Raw genomic sequence first — 15,585 nt, 5'->3', positions numbered from 1 at the left:
TTTACAGAGGTAGATCTTTTTCTTCTGATTGTGGTTTACTCTAACTGTGGATTTTCTTCTGGAGACAAATCCCTCAGGGGAAAAAATTCCTTTGATAAGGTCAAGTAGAGTGTTTACATAGATAATGACTGTATCATTTTATCAGTGTAGCGTGCCCAGCCCTTTGAATGCTAGGTCTTTTTTGCTTATCTGTGATAGGGGATATCTTGGAAATTATGCACAGACCTTTTTTTTTTTTTTTTTTTTTTTTTTTTTTTTTTTTTTTAGCTCATCAGTCATCATTAGTGTTAGTGTATTTTATGTGGGGCACGAGATAGTTCTTCTTCCAGTGTGGCCCAAAGAAGCCAAAAGCTTGGACACCCATGGGTTAGGGTCTTCAGTCGGCCTTGGGTTTTAGAAATCTTACAGGCTATGAAGAAAAAAGAAAAAAAAAAAAAAACCTTGATTTGAAATCTGGCCCAGCTTGCAGCAACCTCAGCCAATTCACCAGCAAGCATGACTGTCCCCACAGTAAATGGGACTGTCAGTAGCTACCTCTGTGGGTCACTCTGGGCACCAGGCACAGAACCCGGCACATGGCGGCTGTTGGGAAAGCACTGTCACCAGCTCCCTTCCTAGCTTTAGGAGCTGGGAATCCAGTTACACCAGAAGCACTGGGGTGACGCTTCAGCCCTTCCCCCAGCTTTCATTTGTGACCTAGAGGCCACCAGGAACACGCCTGTGGTCAAACCAAGTTGGGTTTATTGCCTCATTTCAGCAAGGGGAACACACACCATGGGTAAAAGAAAAGCAAAAAGACCTTGCAGGACTCCGGCTGGTGTTCGGTGATGCGCAGGTGTTCGCGGAGGTGAGGCGTCACCCTGTATTGGGTGGCGTCAGGATGCAGGGTCATTCTGCGATGGGTTTCTTAACTCATTCTTATCTAGAACACAGGAAGAATGGAGCCGGCATAGCGGGAAGTTTGCTTATGCTGTGGTCAGGAAAGTTCTGTGTTCCGTGTTCAGGATGATTACAGAGGGGTCTTGTCTTTGGCCGGATCCATCATTGTCAGACAAGGTGTTGGTGTTCCAGGAAGTTGCGTTCACACAGCAGGAGGACACATGGCTTTGCTGTGGGTGCCAGGCCGGCTCTTGCTGATACCAGGCCAGGCAGAAAGTGCCAGGAGAGGCCCCGGTCACCAGGACTGCTTTCCTCTTCTCAGGCCTGCTTTGGGCTAAAGGTGGAGGAAGTTGGGCCACAAGATATTGATTGACAACACCCAGAACTTCATAGCTGCCAAGATTTCATTAATTAGGAGGTTGTCCAGAGAATGTCCTATGTAGTGGGGCTGAGGTTGGTGTCTCCTGCTCCTGCTGCTGAGTGGTGACTCGACATTTGACATGACAGTGGTGACAGCATCTACACAGCACAGTAGATAACCTGGCCTTTAGTACAAATGTTTCTTCAGCTAAAAGGAAATCAGGACTGTGTGATTTCCTGTGACAACTCTGGGTAATGGGTTTGCATTTAAACTGGTTTATGGGGCTTCCAGGGCAGAAGTTGTGTCTGGGAGAGGTTGGGGCCATCTTTTTTTATTGTTTTGTGACTCCTGGATACATGAAAAGGGGGTCAGTATTCTCAGAGAAGCACAATCCACTGGAATGGGCATTTATGTACCTGGCAGCTCTGCCAGTTTGTCCTGACAACAGTGGAGACGTCTCTGTGTCTGGTGTGCCTAAGCCAGGGTCCCTCGTCGCTGGGCACAGACTGTGCTGGGAATCAAAGTGTCACATCAGTTAGGACCGAGCGAGGTCTTTTGGCTCAAGGCAGGCAGCTCCCTCGAGTTGGGGGAATGTTCCCTGCCAAGCAGGCTGCAGCAGCCCTCAGGAGACAGGCTGAGCAGAGGGCGAGGACTCTTCCCGGTCTGAGGGGCTGGGGCTGCTGGGGAGCATCCCAGTCTCAGTCTACAGACCATTCACGGGCCTGGAGGCGGGGCCGTGCGCTTGTCTTCCGGGTGCATCTCACACCTGGGCGTTAACTCAGAGCTGATTCTAGGTTCCCGGGTCTGTACCAGGCCTCTCCACTGTGAAGTCAGTTTTTCCCATTGTATTAAATCAGTACCTTGTGGGGGACTCTTTGAAACTATATACATATTCTGTTCTCCCTCAAAATGGTATCTGATATTTTTAGCATTTGTTGATGATTTTCATCTGAATAAGTGATGAACTGTAATGGTTGCCAAACGGTGGTTTTGGTTTTTATTTCATCGTTTGTTTCTTGGCATTTCGTTGTAAAAAGAGCTTTCTTTTCTCCCCCACATATGTATTTCTCCCTCATTTACCTCATCTGCCTCTGCTGAAGCTTGGAGCCCACCCACAGGGTCCATCCCAGCCTGCCCCTCCTTCCACGGGGCCCCTTTGACCTCCGTCCCCCACGTGTGCTTCCTGGCTCCCTCCTGACCCCCTGACTGTCTGTGGGCCCTCAGCGCCCCAGTTGCTGTCTGGCTTGGCAGCTCCTGTGTAGTCTGCATTGTAAGATTTCTTTCTTGTACTTTCCCTAGAACCAGACTTCTCCTACCTGGAAGCCCTGGCTCCTTACCAGCCGCTGGCCATGAAATGCATCTACTGCCCCATCGACACCCGGCTGAACTTCATCCAGGTGTCAAAGCTGCTTAAAGAAGTGCAGGTAATGAAGGACACTGCTTGTGCCTTCACGTAGTCATGTCACCTTGGTGTGGCTCATGCTTGTGTGGGGTGAGGGGAGAGAGATCTAGCTGTGTTTGATTCTTGTCTTCAGTTCTCACGCATCTGCAGAATGCTGGGACACATGCCAGCCCCCCTCCACACTGAAAAGGAGTGGTCTTTACACCCTGACCGCAGTTTCCATTCTAAAGAAATCAGATGTGGAAGGGAAAGAAAACCATCTGTGTCCGCTTAAAAGCAAACCCTCTCACCCCTGCCAAAAAAAAAAAAAGTCATTCTAGAAACATACTCACTAAGCTGAGACAGTTTAAATGAAACGCGTTACTGGGGCCGTGTCGCACGTGTAGGCTGGTACCACAAACAGTGCTGTCGGGTTTGGGTTTTGTGGCAGTTTTTGGTCATTTGTTTCACTTCACATTTTCTGCCCTGGAGAAAGGGAAGAAGTAGCTGGGGTGCAGTGTAGACCAGGAGGCGCGCGTAGCAGGAAGGCAGGGCCACGGAACCACTGTGCTGGCTCAGCCACTGCTCGCTGGGTTTCTGGCTCTTGAGAGTCGGGAGAGGAACTGGAATTGGCAAGGAGGACAGCTGACACCGGCGAGGAAGAGCTCTCCCTTTCCACTCCCTGGTGTTCCCAGGAGTGAGATGAGGGTGGAGGGGCCCAGCACAGCACCTTCAACCTCAGGATGAGAGAGGCCCTTTCACAAAACTCTAAGGCAGGGGAACAGGAAACAGAGAAAGCCGGAGAACCCCAGGAGGGCCCCAAGAGCGGATTCTGGTGATTATTAATGTGCTTGCCCAATGAAGAAAGAATACTGGCACTCTCTAGGTATGATGAGAGCAGACAGCAAACGTGGGGCCTGTCTACAGTGATTCGCTACCCCAATGTATGCTCATCCACGTTAGAAGCAGCAGTGAAAGGCGTGTTGCTTTTCATTATTAACTTCAAATCCCAGTCCCTAAACCAGCTCTTGACGCCCCTCTGTCAGGTGCTAATCCTGGAAACTGGAGGCCACCTGGTCTCCACTTTAGGTGAGGAAAACCTGGGAGAAGCCATCAGACTGCACCTGTGGCATGAGATGCTTTGAGACAGGTCAAGAGGAGGAGCAAAGGGCAGTTTGGAGGAGAAAAGTATTAGCCCTAAGGAACAAGTGCTTTTGGAAGCTCAGCCCGGTCAGCCTGGTGGAAAGCCGTCTTCAGCAGGGAATTCAGGGCTTGGTCCAAGCTCTTAAGTAGAAGCAGGGACAACACAGTGCCCCTGTGGGCTGCCAGCATTCCTTTTCATTTGGGTGATATTTGTGCAAAGTAAAAATTGGTTTACTAATCTTTTTTTCTCAAGATAACAAAAAGAGACATTTTGTTTAAAAAAAAAAACAAAAAAAAAAAACTCTGCCTCTGCTCCTTGGTTGCACATGGTGAGCACATGAGCTGAGGAGTGCCCACTGCCTAATACCAGCTGACCTGCAGATCCAGCGGAAACTCCAAACCCACAGCGCCAGCCCGGCACGAAAAGCCACAGCTCTTGGTAATCAGCCAAGAGCTTATAATAGCAGGCATGTGGGAATGTTAGAGAAAGACCGTGCCCCGAGGAAGCCCAGAGACCGCTGGGAGCAGACACATGGAAGTTACCGTGAAACTTATGTAAAGAGTAAGAAAGATAAATTAAGCTGAGGCAGTTTAGGGGTTTCCGAGATGTTTCTTCTGCCCCAGTGCCTTCACGTTCCCTCTCCTGTCTACGGTTCATTGGGCTTGAGAGGATGAAAGTTCACCTTGGCCTGGAAGTGGTGAGCCTGTAATGGCGGGGAGTGGATCGGGGTCAGGAATGGGCCTTCCACAGGGGCCACTGTACTTCACACCACCTTTCTCAACTGTCCCATTGGTTCCTCAGCCCCTGCACGTGGTGTGTCCTGAGCAGTACACTCAGCCGCCCCCAGCCCAGTCCCACAGGATGGACCTCATGATCGACTGCCAGCCCCCCGCCATGTCCTATCGGCGGGCTGAGGTTCTCGCCCTGCCCTTCAAACGTCGGTACGAGAAGATCGAGATCATGCCAGAGGTGAGCTGTTCTCCTTCCTAGGGTTAAACTAGAGCTTTCCACAGAGGCTCTTGGAGATCGTGCAGGGGTGGCCTTCTTTTGGATTTATGTCAAGTATAAATGAACCAGGCTGCGCGCAGTAGCTCACGCCTATAATCCCAGCACTTTGGGCGGCCAAGGTGGGCGGATCACTTGAGGTCAGGAGTTCGAGACCAGCCTGGCCAACCCAGCCCAGCCAATATGGCAAAACCCCATCTCTACTAAAAATACAAAAAAAGTAGCCAGGTGTGGTGGCACGCATCTGTAATCCCAGCTACTCGTGAGGCTGAAGCCTGAGAATCGCTTGAACCAGGAGGTGGAGGTTGCAGTGAGCCGAGATCACACCACTGCACTCCAGCCTGGGCAACAGAGTGAGACTCCAAGTATGAATGAACAAAGAACATGGACCCTTAACCAAGTAACCGGGAAGAGGGGGGATTTTCAGGGCCTTCTTGTTTTTCAACTAATAAAATAACAGCTGTTAGTCAGGACTGCTCCTTACCTAGCATTCAGCAGCGTGAGCCCTGGGCCACATCATGGGTCAGAGCCCTGGGAAGTGGAGATGCTGACACCCGCTCTGTCCCTAAATACCATAGGATGGTGACTTTTCTCTTCCTTCCTGGACCTCAGTTATGAGTGAGTGTCAAGAGTTTGCTGAATTCAGAGGTAGATGGGGGAGATAACAGGAACCAAAAAATAAGGATTGTAAACTTGGTTATTTATATCCTCTTGAGCATACTTGCAGGTTTTGGTCTATCAAAGTCTAAGTATTTTATAGGTCTGTGAACTCTTAGCTTCAGTTTTAGCAGGGAAAGAGCCAAAGCATGCTGTCCATGTTGAACAGCTGTGGCATGCTGCGCTTGGGCCACTCCTCTGAGAGGGAGACAGAGAGGGACGCGGCCTCTCCTGAAAGACAGCGTTGAGGATGGTTGGAGGCTACCTCTGGCTTCCTTTCACCTCTTGAGGCAACTTGAATGTGTTTTCAACAGACAGGAAAAAGAAATATAAAAACTTATTGTTAAAACCAGTGTGCCCAAACTTCTTTTGGAGTCTGAGGTTCAGAAATGGCCTCCAGACCTTGGGTTGGAGGTCTTGGCTCCTGAATGTGACTCATTTCCATGAGCCTGGAGAGGCTGCTAGGGACCACCAGGTGCCATCTTTATGGTTGTTTAATGTTTAATATGTTTTTATCATTTTGTTATGATTTTTTCACTTTCTCTGGATTGTTTTTGTCTGGTATTTTACAGGGGCTGGGATTGACGGCCTTGGTTTAGATTTCAACTCTCTAAGCCAGCATTCCTTAAACCTTTTGGTCTCAGACATCCTTACAAATAGAACTCCAAAGAGGTTTTGTTTATGTGGGTTATGTCTATTGATGTTTGCTATATGAGAAATTAAAACTAAGACATTTTAAAAATATTCACTTAATAATACAAACCTATTATATGTTAACATAACTAAGGGATAAAGACAAAAGCAAAAATCAGTCCCAGTGCCAGGGATAAATGTTAAGATTTTGATGTATTTGCCTTGTCTGTTCACTGTGTGTGTGCCTACTGGAATCACACCTCATACACTGTCGTCTTTTTCACCTATCAGTAAGTACATTATATCATTTAAGATATTTCAGCCAGGCATGGTAGCTCACTCCTGTAATCCTAGCACTGTGGGAGGCCGAGGCGGGTGGACAATGAGGTCAGGAGTTCAAGACTAGCCTGGCCAAGGTGGTGAAACCCCATCTCCACTAAAAAAAATTAGCTGGGCGTGGTGTCACGCACCTGTAATCCCAGCTACTTGGAGGCTGTGGCAGAGAATTGCTTGAACCGGGAGGCAGAGGTTGCAGTAAGCCAAGATCATGCCACCGCACTCCTACGTGGATGACAGAGCGAGACTCTGTCTCAAAAAATATATATTTCAGCTGGGCATGGTGGCTCATGCCTGTAAACCCCAGCACTTCAGGAGGCTGAGGCGGGGGTGAATCACTTAAGGTCACGAGTTCAAGACCAGCCTGGCCAACATGATGAAACCTTGTCTCTAATAAAAAAACAAAAATTAGCCACAGGCGTGGTGGCAGGCGCCTGTAATCGCAGCTACTCGGGAGGCTGAGGTTGCAGTGAGCCAAAATCGCGCCACTGCACTCCAGCTTGGGCAACATAGCGAGACTCCGTCTCAAGAAAAAAAAAAAAGATATTTCAAAAGCTTCAGCTTTAATGGTTGCATAATGGTCTGTCATAATTTAACAGTTCCTTTTTTCATAGATTTTTTTTTTTTTTTTTTGAGACGGAGTCTCGCTCTGTCACCCAAGCTGGAGTGCATTGGCGCGATCTTGGCTCACTGCAAGCTCCGCCTCCCAGCTTCATGCCATTCTCCTGCCTCAGCCTCCCTAGTAGCTGGGACCACAGGCACCCGCCACCATGCCCAGCTAATTTTTTTGTATTTTTAGTAGAGACGGGGTTTCATCGTGTTAGCCAGGATGGTCTCAATCTCCTGACCTTGTGATCCACCCGCCTTGGCCTCCCAGAGTGCTGGGATTACAGGCGTGAGCCACTGCGCCTGGCCCCTTTTTTCACAGATTTTCATTTCTGGTTTTTCTGTGTTATAAATAACACTTTTAGGAGCATCCTTTTACATAAATCTTTGTCCATATATGTTTATTTCCATAAGAAAATTTTCTGAAGTTAGAATTTCTGGGTCAAAGATTATGAACATCCCTTTCTGGCTCGAGGCTATATATTGCCAGCTTGTCCTCTAGAATGAGTGTGACAGTTTATACTCCCACAGCAGAGCTGGAGACAGCTCTTACTTCTGCCTCCTTGCTAATATTGAATGTTGTCCTTTTTTAGTTATTTTCCAATTTTATTCAAGTCTTTTCCAGTTATATAAGTATACACTGTTATCTAATTTTAAATTGTATGTCTTTTTTTTTCTTTTTTTGAGACGGAGTCTCGCTGTGTTGCCCAGGCTGAAGTGCAGTGGTGAGATCTCTGCTCACTGCAAGCTCCACCTCCTGAGTTCACGCCATTCTCCTGCCTCAGCCTCCCGAGTATCTGGGACTACAGGCACCTGCCACCACACCTGGATAATTTATTGTATTTTTAGTAGAGACAGGGTTTCACTGTGTTAGCCAGGATGGTCTTGATCTCCTGACCTTGTGATCTACCCACCTCGGCCTCCCAAGTCCTGGGATTACAGGCGTGAACCACCGTGCCCGGCCCTATGTCTTTTTTTGAGACGGAGTCTTGCCGTGTTGCCCAGGCTGGAGTGTAGTGGCACAGTCTTGGCTCACTGCAACCTCTGCCTCCCGGGTGCATGCAGTTCTCCTCCCTAGGCTCTCGAGTAGCTGGGATTATAGGCACATGCCACCAATCCTAGCTAATTTTTGTATTTTTGGTAGAGATGGGGTTTCACCATATTGGCCAGGCTGGTCTCAAACTCCAGTCTGCCCACCGTGGCCTCCCAAAGTGCTGGAATTACAGGCGTGAGCCACCGCACCCAGCCAAACTGTACGTCTTTGATCATTAATGGAGGTAACTGTCTCAATCCAACTTGCTACAGTAATTGCCTTTAAAATGGACATTATGGCCAGGCACATTGGCTCAGGCCTGTAATCCCAGCCCTTGGGAGGCCAAGGCAGGAGGATCACTTGATGCCAGGAGTTCAAGACCAGCCTGGGCAACACAGCAAGACCCCCGTATCTACAAAAAAATAATAAATTAGCCAGGCGTGGTGGTTCATGCCTGTAGTCCCAGCTACTGGGGAGGCTGAGGAGGGAACATCACTTGAGCCCAGGAGGTTGAGGTTGCAATGAGCTATGATCACACCACCACACTCCAGCCTGGGCAGCAGAGTGAGGCCCCATCTCAAAAAAAAAAAGACTCCTTCAGAGTCGTCTTGGAAATAGTGCATGGCTGCCCAGGGAGAGCGCAGAACGCCATCCCCAAAGCTCCCACCCCAGCCTTGTGCAGGGAGGAGGGGCCTGTGTGGAGGAGGCCTCAGGTGAAGAACGGGATCTGGCGCACACCCTGCTCCTCGGCAAGGGCCGCTTCACGCTCGCCATAGGCCGTTTTCTTATTTCATGAAACAGGCCTCACGTACCACTTGCCAATCTGCTTAAGTATCCTAAGCTGCTTCCTCTGCCCGTTTGGTATTGATCTTCATGTTTACATAATGGCCTCTTGCATGTTTTTGTTTTTAAATAAAGGTGGCTTGGCTAGGTAGGGGTCTACATGTCTTAAAAACCATGCAGCTAAACCCAGCAACAGAGCACCTAATAAGGTCAGGCTGCACGGCAGGGCACCCATCAGGTGCAGGTGGTCGGAAAGATACCACCCCCCAGGTAAAGCCGTGGCTCCCACCATCAGGAGAAGTCAGACTTTCAGGAAGAGAGAGCTCCCTCAACCGCCATGCTGCTGTCCCCGTCCTTCCTGCCACTGGTCACCTGGAGAGGGGATGAGGGTGAAGTAAAGGCCAGAATGAATGAAAGGCTGCACTTGGTGTGTCACCTGGGCGACAGAGCAAGACTCCATCTCAAAAAAAAAAAAATTGTTTACCTTTAAAGTTATTTCATCTTTTTAGACTGCAGTGATGTAAATACAGATTAAAGGAAGAGTAATGGTCATCATTAAAGGCCCCCAGCCTGAACTGCGCCCTTTGCTTTCAGCTCGCAGATTCACTGGTGCCCATGGAGATCAAGCCTGGCATCTCCTTGGCAACTGTCTCGGCCGTGCTGCACACCAAAGATAACAAGCACTTGCTTCAGGTAGGGGGTGCTGGGTGGGAGTGCAGGGGACCCTCTCCCCAGCAAGAAACCAGACCACCTAACAGATTATATTTGAAATAGCGCTTCATGTGAATTCTTGTTGAAGAATTATTTCCCTGGCCATGTGCCTCAGAGAGGCTGCTGTGCCCAGAGATGAGGCCGCACGTCATCCCAAGGGCTGCCACAGGCACATTCTGTTGGGGAGCGCTGCCACGCGAGGCAGGGCTGTGGGGAGACGTGCAGGGTGGCAGGTGCAGCCCTGCCCTTGGGGGCTGGAACCGGAGGGCACCTGCGTGAGGCTGTGGCTACCTGAGAGCCTGGTCCTACCAATGACCCACACACAGGTGGGTGGCACTTCAGCTCCAGGGCAGGCACTGTGTCTTAAGAATTCCTTTCAGATCTGGACTGTGTCACCTTTATGCCACATGTAGAGTTGCTCCTAGCTACCACTTAAAGTCTATTAGACCCTGTGCTGGGTCCTTGACCCGCCTTGTCTTACTGAGCCGTCAGAATTCACTGCTGTCATCATTTCGTAGGCAGCTTCTCTAACCTTGGCCAGATGGTGGCAAAGGTGGGGTTTCCCCCTTTGGTCTGACCCCACAGCCAGTGTGCCCAGCCACGGGGTCATGATGTACCTGCAGCACGACACAGTGTATTCTGGAGAATTTACTCAGCAGATACTGAAGTGAACCACCTGAAAATTTAAAAATGGATCTTGATAGAAGGCAGAGATCTTAGCGAATAAGGTGTTGGTAGGCTGGACAGTTGAGCATTAGAGCGCGTGGATCTGGGGCTCCCGGCAGCCAGGGAACCTGAACCGAGTGCCGGCTGAGGAAACCGGGCCGGGGCTCTGTGGCCTGTGAGGACAGGATAGTCTCAGGCTCTCAGTGTGGCCTGCGGTGGCCCCTGCTGCTCAGAGGAAGCTCATGAAAGCCACTCTTTCCTTCTGCTCTAGCCCCCTCCTCGGCCCGCCCAGCCCACGAGCGGGAAGAAGAGAAAGCGGGTGAGCGATGACGTACCAGACTGCAAAGTCCTGAAGCCTTTGTTGAGCGGTTCCATCCCTGTGGAGCAGTTCGTGCAGACCCTGGAGAAGGTGAGCTGGTTTCGCTGGTGCCGTGAAAACTCCACACGTGGCAGCCTTTCCCTGGCTCACTATGGCCCCCTGGCTGCAGGGAGTGGATGTTGCTGCTTGTCACTTAGTCCCCACTGTCCTGTGGCATCTGTTTGGTCTAAGGTCCTGCTGGGAGACCCAGGAGAAAGAAAGCAGAGTGAGGAGTGCCCCATCCTTCCTCCCAGCACGAGGTCACCAGAAGGCCTCTCCAGACTGAAGAAAAAGCTGCTTCCACACACACATGTGACGAGTGGGGCAGGGTAGTGAGGCCAGGACAAAGAGGGACCCGGCCCTGCCAGAGTCTTGCACTTCCACAGATGACTCCTTGCTGTCAGAGGGGAGCCAAGTCTCCAGTCGACTGTCAGGATTTGCAGGAGGCAGTCGGGGGAGGGGACACTGGCCCTTCCCCTCTGTCTCAGCAGCCCTGATGGCTGCTTCTCCCAGAGATGAGATTTCTTGACTATGATTAAAAGAAAAAAATCTAACCTTAAAGGTTGTAATTTTGGCTTCAGTCACAGGACTTCAGAGATGACTTTATTAGGATTATAGAATCTTTGATAGGAAGAAGGAATTGGCTAAAGGTAATACTGTTCATGCTGCTGCTTGCAAGAACTGCAACAAATTACAATCATTACAAGGAAGGAGATTTCTATGAACTTTCTATCCAATGTAAATATCACAGTTGCCGACTTTCAAATCTTAAAGGCTTTCCCTTTCCTAGGATTGGTTTTCTCCACCTGTCTTTGATTTTCCCGTAGGGAAAAAGGCTCTGGCTGGGTGGTTGCGGCTCTCTTCCACCCTCCCTGAAGACCTTGCAGGGCTCCTGGGCCCTGTTAATGGGCCTCAAGCTGGACTTTTAAAAACTTAAGATGAGGACCTTCTGCCTGGCCCAGCCTATGTCCTGACCCAGTGTTCCACCCCGGCTCCTCTCTGCAGAAGGAGCAAGCACCTGTCCAAGTCCCTAGGGGAGCCTGCAGCCATGAAGTACAGGTGGCCTCCCCACACCGAGGCCCTTCACCTGCTGTGTGTCTGTTTCAGGCACATGCCTCCTTTCCATGTCACGTCTGATTTGTAAGGAATTTCTGTCCTTAGCATTAGCAATAGCTGAGAAGTTTGCACTGCTGCCTTCTCTCCTTCACTCTTGAGAGGGCTCTGCCAAGTCCCACAGGGGTATCTTGGTGTCACCTGGCATTTTCCTGGGAGCTCAGACAGCTGAAACTTAGGAGGGAGCTGTCACCAGGGAACGGCATGGTGCAAGCAGCTGAGCGTCCCAGACTCCTGAACACAGTGCTTGGACGTGCCCTCAAAGAACTCACAAAAGCTTAGCCAGGTTGTGGAAATTCTGTTGTTTTGCATGAGCTTTTGCATGTTTAGGGTCTCTTTTCAAGTATAAGAAACTATCACTATCATAGGCCTATGACTAGTCTGAAGAATTGTGTTGAGACGTGTCAGTTTCTAGAAAGTTCAGTCGAGTCTGTGAAGTGTCATTTACAGATCTCACAGATGTGCAGTCTGCCCAGCCCACCTCTTTCTTTTCTTCTGGAGCAGCATGGCTTCAGTGATATTAAGGTGGAGGACACAGCCAAGGGCCATATCGTCCTGCTCCAGGAGGCTGAGACGCTCATCCAGATTGAAGAAGACTCGACCCATATCATCTGCGACAATGACGAGATGCTCAGAGTGCGACTGCGGGACCTTGTCCTCAAATTCTTACAGAAGTTCTGAGTGGGCCATCTGAGCTACTTCCCTGAAATCCTGCAGTCCCTCACTGGCTGCCCTCACAAGCCACCTGAGGAGTGGCATGAGAGGCCATTAACTGTGTCTTTGTGGTGTCCTCTGGCTTAAGGAGTGAAGAGGTGGCTCTTGAGGGAAATGGTCTGGACTTATTCCCAGCACTGTTTCAGGCAAGAACTTTCCCTTTCAACTTCAGGCTCATTTTCTTCTCAACTCTGGCTCTCTCAAGGAGCTGGAGGGTGGCAGAAGTGGGACAGGAGAAGTTTTCCAAGAGGTTCATGGGAGGCGGAGGTGACTGGCTGGCTGTCTTGCATCAGTCCCAGGCCTCGGCCAGGGGAGCCAGCCTTTGGTTTCGTTTACTTGCCTACAGTGCTGTACGCAATAAGATGATGATCCCAAAATATGGTAAAGTGAACCCATCTGTCTGCATTTTCTACTCTGAGCCCATTTGTTAATAAACACTTATTTTTATATAATTAGCTGTCCTCTGTTGAACCTACCATCTATATATTGATTTAGTAGCTGAAAAAATATGAAAATATACAGAACAGCATGAACTTAGAAAACACCACAGGAAATTGAATTTTGATGTGTATGTTAAATCATATAATTTGCACTGTTTATAAAAACACAGATCTGTTTCTCCTTACATTGCATAAGAAGGTGCTCACCTTTAAGCTGTGGCTGCACGGAGAGTGATGCAGGTCGGTACACCAGCCTCAGGCTCCACCTGCACCGCCTCTCCCACAGATCCTCAGTCTCTGCATTAAACCGGGCGTTACTCACAGATACCCTCAGAGCCACTGGTCGTAGGAAGCTTTCAGACAAAAGTAACCTCACAAAAGATGACTGCTTTTGAAATGTATAAAACCAACAGTTACCAGGTGAAATAGCACGAGCTGTGACACCCAGGCCAACTTTGCGAGTATTAAGAACAAGTCTTAGCCCTGGCAGGCGATGCTAGATAGTATGCCCAGCGCAGGCTATTCTTAACCATCTTGTTGGAGTGATTGATTGATTGAAATTCACTCAGAAGTCAGTCCTCCAACTCGGCTGACAACTAAACAGCACACAGGGATTTAGTGACCCAATAAATACATAACATGAACAGCTGCAGAACTGACTGCTCTGGCTTTATGGCGCATTATCACTCCTCTTGGAACAATCGTATTGGTGGGAATGAGTGCTTCGCTAAAGCAGGGAAAAGACTACTTCATGTTTGCCATCTCCAACCTTGCCAAACCTGGGCATGGGAATGCTTAAGTAGGTTTCTAATTTTCCAAGGTTTGGGTCCACTCCAGTCAAGGGATAGGCTACAGAATAAACGAGAGGCTTCCAACCATGGGGCAGGACTGACATTACAAGAGATGAATGTGCCATGGCTATGAACATTTAGTTTTCTTTTTAGAATTGCAAATAGACATCCCAAGCAGGCATACTTCCAATAGAACCTTTGAAAGAATCAAGTGAAATTAAATTTTAAAAACATCTGAGGGCCAGGCATGGTGGCTCACACCTGTAATCCCAACACTTTGGGAGGTCAAGGCAGGCGGATCACAAGGTCAGGAGTTCGAGACCAGCCTGGCCAACATGGTGAAACCCCGTCTCTACTAAAGATACAAAAAAAATTAGCCGGGCATGATGGCACACACTTGTAATCCCAGCTACTGGTGAGGCTGAGGCAGGAGAATCACTTGAACCCGGCAGGTGGAGGTTGCAGTGAGCCGAGATCATGCCATTGCACTCCAGCCTGGGCAACAGAGCAAGACTCCATATCAAAAAAAAAAAAAAAAAATCTGAAATGCAAAAACAGTGTAAGCTAGAGCTCAGGAGAAACCAAAAATGGTTATTTTATTTAAATGTCCTAGCAATGCTATCTAGGAATGATGGGATCTGTCAAGCCTGTCTGCCGTGAAAGGGCTTGATCAGAGAGCCCAGTGCTGGTCCCTTGAGGGGGTTTGCAAAAGAAGTGAGCAGTAAGAACAAGCGAGTCAGTGGGTGCCCGATGAACAGGGTGCAACTTAGTAGGTTTTAATCAAGTCATCACCACCCACTTAGTGGCAGAAGTCAGAGGCAGGAAGCAGCAAAGACTCATGCTTTATAAAAAGCAGAGAGAAAATCCAGAGCCGGCCTTTCCAGGTATGAGAAGAGCAGTTATGAGTAACTGCCTAAAGTTCAGGTATTTGGATACCATGCCAGGTTGGTTAGAAGACTCCAAAGAAGTGGCATAAGTGGCAGACGTGGCCTGGCTCTATCAGAAATGCGGCCCACCGACATTAACTGACATTGACTGACACTGACATCAACCTGGCGAAGACTCTGACATCCAGAAAAGTTTGTACTCAAACCCAGTGGAATCCTAATGATTAATTGAAAAAAACTTAATAGTGCAGAGACCTCATATTATTTAAGTCTTAGTACAAAGTGATATATTAGGTATCTATTGCACAACAAATTACCCCAAAACACGGTGGCTCACGCCTGTAATCCCAGCACTTTGGGAGGCCGAGGCGGGCAGATCACGAAGTCAGGAGATCGAGACCATCCTGGCTAACACGGTGAAACCCCATCTCTACTAAAAATACAAAAAATTAGCCAGGTGTGGTGGGCGCCTGTAGTCCCAGCTACTCCGGAAGCTGAGGCAGGAGAATGGCGTGAACCCAGGAGGCGGAGCTTGCAGTGAGCCAAGATCGTGCCACTGCACTCCAGCCTGGGCGACAGAGCGAGACTCCGTCTCAAAAAGAAAAAAAAAAAAAAAAAGAAAACCTGACTTTTCTCATCTCACTGTTTCTGTGGTCGGGAATCTGGTGTAGTGTGGCTTAGCTGGTCGACCCTGGCTCAGGGTCTCCTCTCCACACGGCTGCAGTCAGCTGTTGGGTGAGGGAACAGAGCTTAAGTAACTTTCCGCAGAACCGCCAGTGAGTGGCCTCTGCCTTACCGCAACACCGTGGGTGAGTATCAGGTCAGCAGCCAGCCAGGAAATGGCAATCTGTCTTTTAGGCCATTGCTTTCCAAGTCACATCTACTCCATCTCTCCTGATCCCTGAAGAGCTTGAAGCTTTTGGCCCTCACAGTTGTCCTATAAAGGCATTTCCAAACTGTAATGAAGTATCAACAGAAACAAGAGTGAAGAAACCTTTAAACCTGCATAATGACATATTAACAAGAGTCAAGCAACGAGTGGGAAGGGAAGGAGGACACTTTTCCTCTGGCCCTGAGTCCAGTTTTT

The 15,585-nt window shown here is 49.1% G+C and overlaps 1 protein-coding gene across 15 annotated transcripts in view, besides 1 other annotated feature; it reads left to right on the top strand.

Moving 5' to 3' along the window:
* INTS9 (integrator complex subunit 9) overlaps nucleotides 1–12,832 on the top strand; it is a 122,309-nt gene extending 109,477 nt beyond the window's left edge. For 6 of the 15 annotated variants that reach the window (NR_026826.3, XM_047421958.1, NM_001145159.3 and 3 more), the window contains 5 exons: nucleotides 2,540–2,664; nucleotides 4,567–4,734; nucleotides 9,413–9,511; nucleotides 10,467–10,604; nucleotides 12,171–12,832. Coding sequence is in view for 14 of the 15 variants with exons in the window: in XM_047421958.1 (XP_047277914.1) it covers nucleotides 2,540–2,664; nucleotides 4,567–4,734; nucleotides 9,413–9,511; nucleotides 10,467–10,604; nucleotides 12,171–12,347 (707 nt within the window). In the remaining variant the exon portion in view is untranslated. Of the gene's footprint in view, nucleotides 1–2,539; nucleotides 2,665–4,566; nucleotides 4,735–9,412; nucleotides 9,512–10,466; nucleotides 10,605–10,745 lie in introns of all 15 variants that reach the window. The other 9 variants (XM_047421956.1, XM_011544573.2, XM_011544576.3 and 6 more) reach the window with 2 other exon arrangements.
* Nucleotides 3,005–3,074: a silencer, noted in NCBI's record as "silent region_19065". NCBI's record gives its function as "represses an Ori minimal core promoter by ATAC-STARR-seq in GM12878 lymphoblastoid cells {active_cell/tissue: GM12878}" and the evidence as "EXISTENCE:reporter gene assay evidence [ECO:0000049][PMID:35858748]".

The sequence above is a fragment of the Homo sapiens genome, chromosome 8 (genome assembly GCF_000001405.40).
Source record: "Homo sapiens chromosome 8, GRCh38.p14 Primary Assembly".
Taxonomy (NCBI): Eukaryota; Metazoa; Chordata; class Mammalia; order Primates; family Hominidae; genus Homo; species Homo sapiens.
Note: the sequence above shows the minus strand (reverse complement) of the source record. Positions and strands in the feature narration are given on the sequence as shown.